General features: G+C 42.3%; 1 protein-coding gene across 13 annotated transcripts in view; it reads right to left on the reverse strand.

Moving 5' to 3' along the window:
- SIN3A (SIN3 transcription regulator family member A) overlaps nucleotides 1–12,791 on the reverse strand; it is an 86,437-nt gene that overhangs the window by 3,279 nt on the left and 70,367 nt on the right. For all 13 annotated transcript variants that reach the window (NM_001437463.1, NM_001145357.2, XM_047432362.1 and 10 more), the window contains 4 exons: nucleotides 11,607–11,780; nucleotides 8,956–9,048; nucleotides 7,972–8,066; nucleotides 3,008–3,215 (listed from right to left, as the gene is read on the reverse strand). In NM_001437463.1, the coding sequence (NP_001424392.1) occupies nucleotides 3,008–3,215; nucleotides 7,972–8,066; nucleotides 8,956–9,048; nucleotides 11,607–11,780 (570 nt within the window). The remainder of the gene's footprint in view (nucleotides 1–3,007; nucleotides 3,216–7,971; nucleotides 8,067–8,955; nucleotides 9,049–11,606; nucleotides 11,781–12,791) is intronic.

Below are 12,791 nucleotides of genomic sequence, written 5' to 3' on the forward strand. Positions count from 1 at the left end.
CAAAAATACAAATAATAACTGGGCGTGGTGGCACACACCTGTAGTCCCAGCTACTTGGTAGGCTGAAGTGGGAGGATCGCTTGAGCCAGGAGGTGGAGGCTGCAGTGAGCCAAGATCGCACCACCGCACCCCAGCCTAGATGACAGAGCCAAACCCTGTCTCCAAAAAAAAAAAAAAAAAAAACCCAAAACCCCCAAAACCCACATTTCCTTGGTTTACCAATGTGCATTTTAAACCAGCAATCCAGCTGATTCTAATGTATCCTGGGTAGGACCCAGTGAGCCATTGATCACTTCTATCAGCATGGAGATCCACCTCTAAGCCAGACAGTGCAAAGCAAAGGGCTTAAAACCACTCTCCCTCCACTGTGTTACCCCACCCTGGGAAGCAGAGTCCAGGCTTGGCAGATGTTCTGCAGGGGGTTCTGTTCCCACCAACACATTCAATAAAAATTTATTGGTGTCCACATGCAAGGATACTAGAAGAGATACAAAGACAAAACTGGTGTTGCCCAGTGTCCCAAATAATGTGAATCAGAGACAGGCAGACACACAACACATAGCAAAAAAAATGAGCCAGGTGTGGTGGTGCACGCCCGTAATCCCAGCTACTCGAGAGGCTGAGACAAGAGAATCTCTTGAACCCGGGAAGTGGAGGATGCAGTGAGCTGAAATCATGCCACTGCGCTTCCCTCAGTGCCATGAGAGAAGTAGAGCAGACTCTTGAACAACACAGCTTTGAACAGCGCAGGGCCACTGATAGGCAAGTTTTCTTCCACCTCTGCCAACCCTGAGACAGCAAAAACAACCCCTCCCTTCCTCCTCCCTCTTCAGCCTACTCAACAAGATGAGAATAAGGACCCTTTATGATGAGCCACAACCACTTAATGAAGAGTAAATGTATCTTCTCTTGCTTATGACTTAACATTTTCTTTTCTCTAACTTACTTTATTGTAAGAATATACAGTATAGGCTGGGCACAGTGGCTCACGCCTGTAATCCCAGCACTTTAGGAGGCTGAAATGGGTGGGTTGTTTGAACCCTTGAGTTTGAGACCAGCCCTGGGCAACGTAAGGAGACCCCGTGTCTATTTTCATTAAAAAAAAAAAAAAGAAAGAAAAAAAGAATGCAGTATATATAATACATACAACATACAAAATATGTTGTTTATCAGTAAGCCTTCCAGTCAGTAGTAGACTATCAGTAGTTCCATTTTGGGGGAGTCAAAAATTATACACAGATTTGACTGTGCAGGGGCCAGTGCCCCAAACCCCTTGTCGTTAAAGGGTTAATTATACATTAAACTGTCTGCTCAACATCTCCCATTTGAAAGTTTTGTAGTCCTTTCAAACTTAAAACAGCACTTCATCTGTCTCCCAAACCTCATAACCCTTTCCTATTAACAGGTGAGCCCCTAAAATCTCCACTTAAGCAAAACAAAACAAACCAAAAAACCCCAAAACTAATCAGGCACCATCCTTGATGTCCTTCTTTTGCTTACCCCCACATTTGATCCAACACCATCTCTTGTCAATTAAATATCTAAATAATATCTACATCTGGGCGTGGTGGCTCACGCCTGTAATCCCAGTACTTTGGGAGGCTGAGGAGGGTGGATCACTTGAGGTCAGGTTCGAGACCAGCCTGGCCAACATGGTGAAATCCCATCTCTACTAAAAATACAAAAAATCAGCCAGGCATGGTTTGAGACACAGCGAAACTCTGTCTCAAAAATAAATGCATAAAGTCTACAATGTAATTCTTGCAATTCCACTGCCACCCTAGTAGTACGGGTGGCCCCCACATCTCATTTGGACAAGGGCACCCTTTTGAGTGGTCTCTGCTCTTCCAACTTTATATATACCCATCTCCACTGTCCTCACAGAACTCCAAGCTATCTTTGTCAAATGTCCCAGTGCATCTCAAACAAATTACAAACCATGGCCTATCATTAGACAAAGTGATGTGGCCTCTGCCTACCCTTCTAACTTCATGCAACCTTGAGCCACAATGGTGTTTGTAATTTCTTGAATATGCCAAGTCCTTTCCTCCCAGCCTTGTACTAGCTCTTTTGTCTAGAAAACACCCATCCTCTACTCTTCACCAGGCTAATTCCTTGTCATTATTCAGGCCTCAAGCATCACCTCCTTTGAGAAGCCTCCTCCAGTGAAAGCAAGGCCTGTATGCTAGTTACCCTTGATCACTTCACCTGATTTGTTTCCCTGGTAGTGCATATCATCGCATTACTTCATCTGCTCTACTTCATGGCTGTAGTCCCAGGGCCTGGCATAACACCCTATACGCAGCTGCACCAGGAAGGTTTCACAATTGAGACAGAATGTAAAGACAGGTAGGATTCATACAAGCAAAAGATCAGATACTACTTGAGATGTAAATACTGGGAGTAAATTCACCAAAAAGGTGCCACCGGGTATTTACGTGCTCTTACAGGCTGAACTGTATTCTCCTTAAAATTCTTATGTTGGCCGGGCATGGTGGCTCACGCCTGTAATGCTAGCACTTTGAGAGGCTGTGTCAGGTGAGACTCTGTCTCAAACAAACAAACAAAAAATCATACATTGAAGTCCTAGCCCCCAGTACTTCCGAATGTGACCTCATCTGGAGGCAGACACACACACACAGGTAGGAACACCATATGAAGATGAAGGCAGGGATCTACAAGCCCAGGAATGCCAAAGATTGCCAGCAAAGAACCAGAAGCTAGGAGAGGCCTAGAAGAGATTGTCCCTCACAGTCCTCAAAAGGAACCAACACTGCTGACACTTGACTTTGGACTTCTAGTCTCCACAACTTTTGTCATTTAAGCCACAGTCTGTGGTACTTTGTCACAGCATCCTTAGCAACCAACATACGTACTTCCTCAGTTAAGTCTCAGCTCCAAGAACAGGTTTGCATAAACAAAGAAAAACAATCAGAAGACTCTGGGCCTCCCCTGGTCCTAGCTAGGGTGGGAGATGTGTACAGAAATTTCAGTTACTGGTTCTCACCTGATGAGCCCGGAGCAGGGCGGTCCTCCGATACATATAGTCCTCTGATTTGATCACATACACCATCTTGTAGGAATTCAGCTTGAATCTACACTCCAGCTTATCCAGACTATCCACATTCTCCATGGTCTTCTTGCTGTTTCCTTCCTTCCCTTCCTTTTCCTGCTGCTCTCGACCACGTTGACACTTCCGGATCCGCCGTAGATTCCTATTGCAGAAAAGCCCCGGAGGATGAGAGCTCGTCCAGATGCAGATTCCCGTGACTTCCCCAAAGTGAGTTTTCTTTATTATATGCTTGCATAGTACTCATCCCAATTTGTTAAATACATACACAAATGTTCAGTTGTTTCACTGCAAAAAAAATTTCAACTGCAAAGGTACACAGAATAAAAAGCAGAAATCTTCACCCATCCCCTACTTGACTTAGCAGATGTAGCCAGTTAAGAGTTTTAATGAGAAACTTCTAGGCCTCTGTCTGTAAATTTACACATGTAATTACCAGCTACAGTTCTGCTTTGGGATTTGTTTTTAAGACAAAATAGGATCATACTATATATTTTGTCCTCAACTTTTCACTTACTGTCATGAATATTTTTTCATTTCATGATAGATTTGTCTTATTCTCTTTAACTGCTGCAGAAAAATGTACCCCAATTTACCATTCCTTAACAGTTTCTTTCAACTGAGGTTCCTCATCTGAACCACATAACAAAAATTTATTTGAATGACTATTTTTAAAAATTCCCCCAGATGATATAAACTAGTGCCATTCTACATACACAAGAAAGAAGATAATTCACATGAATGGATGCCCTGAGGGGTGGTAGGCTTGCTAAATCTCAACATCCAGTGAAAAAAGTTATCAGCTAGACAATTATATTGTTTCTCATAACTTGCTATTAAAAACACTGCTTCAGGTTGGCCACTGTGGCTCATGCCTATAATCCCAGCACTTTGGGAGGCAGGTGGATTGCTTGAGCTCAGGAGTTTGAGACTAGCCTGGGCAACATGGCAAAAACCCCTTCTCTACAAAAAAAAAAAAAAAATTAGGCAGGTGTGGTGACGTGTGCCTAGAGTCTCAGCTACTTGGGAGGCTGAGGTGGGAAGATCGTTTGAGCCCAGAAGGCGGAGGTTGCAGAAAGCCAAGATCCCACCACTGTACTATAGCCTGGGACACAGAGCCAGACACTGTCTTAAAAAAAAAAAAAAAAAAAAAAAACCAACCAGCCCAAAATATTGCTTCAGTGAGAATCTTTGTATACAAGTATTTCTGTAGACAGCAGTTCTTTGTCCAAAGGGTCCCAGGACCCTTTCAGGAGATCTGTGAGATCAAAACTATTCTCATAATAATACTAAAACATTATTTCCCTTTTTTGCTGTGTTGACATCTGCACTGGCACCATTAAAGTAATGGTGAACAAAAATGCTGGTGGTGGCGCCAAACTGTATTTGCAATATCGAACAAATTGTTACCAAATTCCAATATCAATTTGTACATCACTGAGCTTTTCATACAGTTGTCAAACTCTGTTGGTTTATCTTGTACCATCAATGAATCCATTTTACTTCCATGATTTTGCACCTTCATGCGACTGCAATTCAAGTCTTTGAACTTCACACTGACCATACAATGACATTAAGTGAAAAAAGCCAGTTTCACTTAAGAATGTTTCTGATGGGCCAGTCACAGTGGCTCATGCTTGTAATCCCAGCACTCTGGGAGGCTGAGGCAGGCAGATCACTTGAGGTCAGGAGTTTGAGACTAGCCTGGCCAACATGGGGAGACCTCATCTCTAATAAAAGTACAAAAATTAGCCGGGAGTGGTGGCGCGCACCTGTAATCCCAGCTATTCGGGAGGGTGAGACAGGAGAATCACTTGAACCTGGCTGGTGGAGGCTGCAGTAAGCCAAGATCGCGCCACTGCACTCCAGCTTGGGCAACAGAGTGAGACTCTGCCTCAAAAAAAAAAAAAGAAAAAAAAAGTTTCTGATGAAGCAGTAACATTTTCTATTAAATCCCAACCCCTCAATTTACATCTTTTTAACATGCTGTGTGATAAAATGGGAACTACACATAAAGCACCTTTGTGTGCTAAAGTACAATGGTATTCTTATAGAAAAGCACTTGAGCAATTGCTTGAGTTGTAAGTGGATCATCATTTTTACCCGAAAGAACAACTGACTAAATATAGTCAATCTCAGCCAAGTATTTGGCAGATGTTTTCTCAAAAATGAACAAGGGAGCCTATCACTTCAAGGAAAACAATGTTGCCAATGGTAAGACTGGAATTTTCAAGCAAAACTATGAATTTTGGTGAACTGGTATCAGCCACCCTGAGCTTGACAGCTTCCCAATACTTAAAGATGTGTTTGATGACCTAGCGATAGCGATATTAAATCAATGTGATTTCTTTTGGAGACACTGTAAAATATATCAACATTTAGTAGGTGTGTATAACTTATTTTCCAAATAGCCAATTGCGTAAAGTTACAAAATCATAGAGGAAAAAAAGATTCATTCATGATACAAAATAAATCAATGGATTTTTACAACTGCATGAAAAGCCCACTGATGTATAAATTGATATTCCAACTAACCTTTAAGAAACTATCACTGGGGCCGGGTGCAGTGGCTCACACCCGTAATCACAGCACTTTGGGAGGCCGAGGTGGGAGGATCACCTGAGGTCAGGAGTTCAAGACCAGCCAGACCAACATGGAGAAATCCCATCTCTACTAAAAATACAGAATCAGCCGGGCGTGGTGGCACATGCCTGTAATCCCAGCTACTCGGGAGGCTGAGGCAGGAGAATCACTTAAACCTGGGAGGCAGGGGTTGCAGTGAGCTGAGATCACACCATTGCACTCCAGCCTGGGCAACAAGAGCGAAATTCCGTCTCAAAAAAGAAAAACAAAAACAAAAACTATCACTGGTAGTTTTGTTGTCATATCAAAGAATATCCAGTTATCTGAAGGATCTGAAAATATTCCTTTTTCCAGCTACACATTTGCGTGAGGCCAGATTTTCTTCACATATTTCAATCAAACAACATACATAATGCAACAGATTGAATATAGAAGCAGACATGAGAATCCAGCTGTTCTTCTGGTAAGCCAGACACTAAACAAATTTATAAAATATAAGCAATGCCACTCTATTCACTAATTTTTGTTTTGAATTAGCTTTTCATTAAAAAATATTATTTAAGAAAATATAATAGGGATATATATATATATATATATATTTTATTTTTGAGGCAGAGTCTCACTCGGTCACCCAGGCTGGAGTGCCGTGGTGCGATCTCCACTCACTGCAACCTCCGCCTTCCGGTTCAAGCAATTCTCCTGCCTCAGCCTCCCGAGTAGCTTGGACTACAGGCGCCTGCCACCATGCCCAGCTAATTTTCTGTATTTTTAGTAGAGACAGGGTTTCACTGTGTTAGCCAGGATGGTCTCGATCTCCTGATCTCGTGATCCACAGCCTCGGCCTCCCAAAGTGCTGGAGTTACAGGCGTGAGCCACTGCGCCCAGCCCAATATTGTTATTTTTCAAATGAATTAAAGATTGAAAACATTTCTTTGTTTTTATTTCTAACTTGGTAAATATTACTAGTATAATCCATATAAACAAAAGCTTTTTGGAGTACTCATGCTCTAAGAGTGTAAGGGGTCTCAAGGCCAATAAGATGAGCCCCTTAGCTGTCAGACAAATCATTAGAAACTGAAATTCTGGAGGGAAGATTCCATACACTTCAACTACCCTGCCACCAGAACGATTATATCAATTTCCTTTTCCTCACAGTACATAAATGTGCCTCCTTCCTCATATCATGGTGAGAGACACATGATGACAGGTTTATTGTAGTATGTTATTAGCATGGAGCCTGTTTTGTTGAGAGGAACCTGACACAGAGCAACTGCTCAAATGTGTTAAATGATTCAATGAATGGAGAACCCGGCAGGGCCCTTTTTGCTGGTATCTCTTTTCCCATGTTCTCATTAGGACTCAATAAGTCTAATAACACTGGGATGATACTTTCTTGGAAACCTAAGACATAAGATTTCAATTCAAAACTTTTAGGAAGGAAGAAAGCCATTCTACCCATTTTATACTTCTTAAACTGTTTTCATATACTTGGAGGATCAGTATCACAATCTGCCTATACACAGAGGGAACATTTTTAAAATTCTGTGCAGAAAAGAGTTAATGTAGCAGGCCTAAGATTGCTATTCTTTGAAAAGCCTGCTTATAAAAGTTGGCCCTTGGCTGGGGGCTGGGATCTTGGATTTTGGGCAATGTTCTACCATTCCTTAACTCATATAAGTGTCTCACTGTACCTAAACTATTTGTACAAACTCTATAGCTTATGCTGAAAATGTGCTTTCTTTCTGAGAGTTTGGGATTTTGGTACATGCTAGGCATACAGTGCCTAGATGACTACATCTCAATAAAAATCCTGGCACAGAGTCTCTAATGAGCTGCCCTGGTAGACAGCATTTTGCATGTGTTGTCACATTCATTGTTGGAAGAATTAAGAGTGTCCTGTGTGACTCCACTGGGAGAGGATTCTAGGAAGCTTGAGCCTGGCTTCCTCCAGCTTTGCCACAGGCACCTTTTCGCTTTGCTGATTCTGCTTTGCATCTTCTCGCTGTACTAAATCAGTCTGACTATATGCAGAGTCCTGTGAGTCCTCTTCCATCGAACCATGGAGACTCTGACACACATTCCCATCCAAAGTACGGAGGTTATTGTTGATTCTCTACAACTCTCACCTCCCAGATGCTTTGACACATGCTCCAGGTAAGCTCATGTTGTGACAGCCATATAAAACCTTGAATTAGCATCCCCAGCAGATAGAACAAATGAATAAAATATGTGAAGGCCAAGAACGTGAAAGTCATTTAACTCTCCATTCCTCAATCATGCACAGTATGGACTGCTGACAGATGACATGGCTCACTCACCTGGGGAGAAATACTGGTTTCTGTGCTAGATGTTCACGAAGCTCAGGCGAGGTAGTATCTGAATTCATGTATCGCTCCACGTAGTCTGACCAGCGCTAAGATGGCAAACACAAAATACAGGTGGAAGGAAATCACAAAAACAGCTCCTAATGCATTGGGCACTCTAGTAAATTCTATGATTACAATGCCCCGAATTCATAAATTTCAAGATCAAAAAAGTCCCTTTCTATAAAGACATGATTGTTAGTAGGTATTGGAACACGGATTAAAAATTCTGTTAGCCAGCAATACTGCTAAGTTTCTGAGGTGCTAAGGTTATGAGAAGTCATAAACAGGTAGAAGCTGGCTCACTGACAAGTTTCATTTCCCCACAGAGCATTTTGTTAAAGAACAAAATTTATAGTGGCAAATGTGTGAAAGTTTCCTTCACATTACAATCTAGATTTCTGACATCGCTTAAAAAAAAAAAAAAAAAAAAAGATCTGCCAACAAGCCAACATTCCCACCAAAACAAGTCATCCCACACGACCCCCCCCAACATCATACATATGGCCTGCATCTCCTGTGTACATTATCTGCCATAACCAACTATGATAATCACACCTGTCTATTCAGGGGTTGAAAACTCTGGACTTTATCAGTCCAATAAAAAGTAAACATGACACAAAGAATCAAGATGACATGAGAAAGACCTCATTTGTTGTTTTTTATACTTTAGGAAAAAACAGGAAAGCTGCCAACCATAAGACTTCCTTAGAGGAGATAGCTTTACTAAGTGCAAGATGAGGTTAACATCTATAACCAGGCAGCCCGTCTCTTCAGCTGAAGACATGGCTGGATTGACTTGTACTTTAAGCATCCAGGTCCTGACCCTTAAACAGGCCTGAGGTGCCTTGGCCTTTTGGCAGACAGGGTCACTGGACAGACTCTCAAGGCACGCCAGCTCTGCTTGGCACCTGGGGTCTGTGATGTACTTGCTCATACCTCTGCTTCCACAGGGTCATCCGAATTCTCCTCTTCTGTGTCCAGAAGCTCAATAGTCAGCTGGACCTGGCCTTGGCTCTGAATAAACATAAGCTGCAAATAAGAAACCTAAGCGTAAACAAAAGACCGTCTCTGTAGCTGTAATCTATCTTCTCAAGGAATGAGAGGTGCAGAGGCAATAAACTTAGTAAACTTTGCTCCAACTGAAGAGATGAGGAAGATACTAGATCTTGGGTGGCCAGTGATAAAGGCAAAAGTCTACACTTACTACAAGTAAAATGAAATATATTAAAGCAAAAGGTACTATTTCATGTTTCAAACTTCTAGAATTCGCTAAAATAATAATCAATGTCAGTAAGAATGTTTTACAAAACAAATATTTTGTCAGAAAGAAATATGGCACATGTAGCCAGAACCACAAAATGTCAATGCTCTGTCCATTGGTAATCCCACTTCTAGGACGTAATAGAGGAGGTAACTATCAGAATCACATGGAGAAGGTCAGAGCCTGGAAGGAAACCTGAGAATTTTTTATTTCAACCTTCTTCATTTTACACAGAGACAAAACTGAAATTCAGAAGAGTTCTGGTTTCTCAAGGCACACCACTAATCAATATACATGCAGAGCCAGAAGCTAGATCTAGCTCAGTGTTCTTTTAAAGCTTTAAAAATTGCTCTCTGCTAGTAAAGCTTACAACCTGACAATAACATAATATATACACACACAAATACAGTTATTTCCAAAATAGATTTCGGGGTGGGGGCAGACCCTGCATTTTCACAATTTATAATTTAAGAATTGCAAAATCTGTCTCCAGTATTCATAACAGGATGTCATTAACCAGTCCCCATAGTGGGTTGGACGTCTAGGATGTTTCCAACTATTTGCTTTTATAATTATCCATTATAATGGTGAAAAATTGGAAACAACCTAAATGTCCACCAATACAGGCATTAATTCTCTAAAAAGTGAATATCAAATAGCCATAAAAAAGACAATAAAGACCCAGAAGTGTTGTTAATTGAGCAAAAATACATTAAAGACCATTTCCGGTCAGATGCAGTGGCTCACACCTGTAATCCCAGCACTTTGGGAGGCTAAGGCGGGCAGATCACTTGAGGCCAGGAGTTTGAGACAAGCCTGCCCAACATGGTGAAACCACATCTCTACTAAAAATACAAAAATTAGACCGGGTGCAGTGGCTCATGCCTGTAATCCCAGCACTTTGGGAGGCCAAGGAGGGCAGATCACCTGAGCTCAGGAGTTCAAGACCAGCCTGACCAACATGGTGAAACCCTGTCTCTACTAAACACACACACCCACACAAGCTGGCCATGGTGGCACGTGTCTGTAATCCCAGCTACTCAGGAGGCCGAGGCAGGAGAACTGCTTGAACCCAGGAGGCGGAGGTTGCAGTGAGCTGAAATAGCACCACTGCACTCCAAGCCTGGACAACCTGGACAACCTGGACAACAAGAGTGAGCCTCCATCTCGGGAAAAAAAAAAAAATTAGCTGGACATAGTGGTACATGACTGTAATCCCAGCTACTAGGGTGGCTGACGTGTGAGAATCACTTGAACTCAGGAGGCAGAGGTTGCAGTGAACCAAGATTGCGCCACTGCACTCCAGCCTGGGCAACAGTGTGTGTCCCTGTCTTAAAAAAAAAAAAAAAAAAGTTAAAGACCATTTTGTCCAGTATAAACTCTTTCAAAATATATACTCAAGCATAGAGAAGTTTAGAATCATAGAGATGTCATCAATGATAATTTCAGGAAAGAATTCTAAGGTGACTTTTTTTGGTTATCTGCATTTTATTTTCATTTTTTTGGGACAGAGTCTTGCTCTGTCACCCAGGCTGGGGTGCAGTGACGCGATCAGGCCTCACTGCAGCCTCGACCTCCCAGGCTCAAGCAATCCTTTTTTTTTTTTTTTGAGACGGAGTCTCGCTCTGTCTCCCAGGCTGGAGTGCAGTGGCGCGATCTCAGCTTACTGCAAGCTCCGCCTCCCGGGTTCACGCCATTCTCCTGACTCAGCCTCCAGAGTAGCTGGGACTACAGACGCCCACCACTACGCCCGGCTAATTTTTTGTATTTTTAGTAGAGACGGGGGCAATCCTTCTACCTCATTCTCCTGAGTAGCTGAGACTACAGGTGCACGCTACCATGCCGGGCTAATTTTTGTATTCTTGTATTTCTTGCAGAGATGGGGTTTTGCCATGTTGCCCAAGCTGGTCTCAAGTGATCCGCCCACCTCGGCCTCCCAGTGTGCTGAGATTACAAGTGTGAGCCATGTGTGCTGGGCCTATGTTTTCTTTTCTATAATGATCATGACCATGGATTTCATGTACCAACATTTTTCTAACAATAATATTTACAAAGCATACTATGAAAAATGTTCAGAGAAAAAGAATACAAAATTGTAAAAATCATATATAACTAGTTTTTTTTTTTTCTTTAAAGGCAGGAAAGAAACAAAGTAGATTGTCCAGGAAGACAATTACTTCCACTTTGTAGTTCTCTGGTGAACTCATTAAAAGGTCCAGGAGTAGAATCACAGGTCAAAGTACCCCGGCTTTAACTTCTGGTTCAGAGAATCCTAACAACTGACATTGTCACCAGCAAGGTCTTCGACTACCTGACCAACTCTCACCTTAAAGCAATTCTCATCTGACATTAGCTGCTCAGCTTTCCGCTGATACGTTGACTCCAGGAGGCTCCTTGAGTTCTGTGTGTTCAGCTGGCCTCCGGTGGCCCCATTATTATTTTCTGCCAGGTAAAGGTCAGTCACCTGCACACAGATCTCATCACTCACGATATGCTGCAGCTGGAAGCAAACAAAGGCAAGCTTTTAGTGAACACAGAAAACATTTCTCCATTATACAGTCAACGTTCCTTTGATGTAGTCATTCAACTCCAAAAAGGTTTTTCTTTTTTTGGGGGGGTGGGGGGGTGCTGGCAATTTTAGAAAATTAATCACACAAACCACTGTATCATTTTCTTGGAGAATAATCAAGCCAGGATTTTCAACCATATCAGTGGTCCATGGTAAAACTTTCCTATCTATTTAAAATAAGAACCATAGAGAACTCAGGATAATCGTACTATTTAAAATTCTAAGCATCTTTAAATAATTTTCTATAGGTCATATCTTTATTGCATTTTAAAATCATTTACAATTGGCTCTCATACATATTCTTTCTCATTTGATCTTCACAACTGCCCTGGGAAGGCAAGCTAGACAGAGAGTTGGGGCCAGTTAGGAGACAAATTTACACAATGCATCAGAAAGGTGGCTCACGCCTGTAATCCCAGCACTTTGGGAGGCCGAGGTGGGCCAATCACCTGAGGTCAGGTGTTCAAAACCAGCCTGGCTAACATGGCGAAACCCCATCTCTACTAAAAATACACAAATAGCCGGGCGTGGTGGCAGGAGCCTGTAATCCCAGCTACTTGGGAGGCTGGGGCAGGAGAATCGCTTGAACCTGGGAGATGGAGGTTGCAGTGAGCCGAGACTGCACCACTGCAAAGCTCACCGTGAGCTGGGGTGAGGAAGGGAGCCTTGGAGAATCATGAATGCAGTATCTATGTCTATATTCCCAGGCCAACTACAAAGCCTGAAACTCATTAAGTATTTAAGAAATAGCTGCTGAATTATTGCCCAGGGGTGCTCAGCTGAAGAAGGAGGGTTGGGACTAAAAGTCAAGGTTCCTGACTCCTAGCCCAATACTTTTCCAAACACATCACCTATTTTTCTGTATCTGATAGAAAGTATAGGGCTTAAGTTGTACATAAAGTTAACTCACTTTCCATACAGGCCAATCATGATTGACTATCA

This window comes from Homo sapiens, chromosome 15 (assembly GCF_000001405.40).
Source record: "Homo sapiens chromosome 15, GRCh38.p14 Primary Assembly".
Classification (NCBI taxonomy): Eukaryota; Metazoa; Chordata; class Mammalia; order Primates; family Hominidae; genus Homo; species Homo sapiens.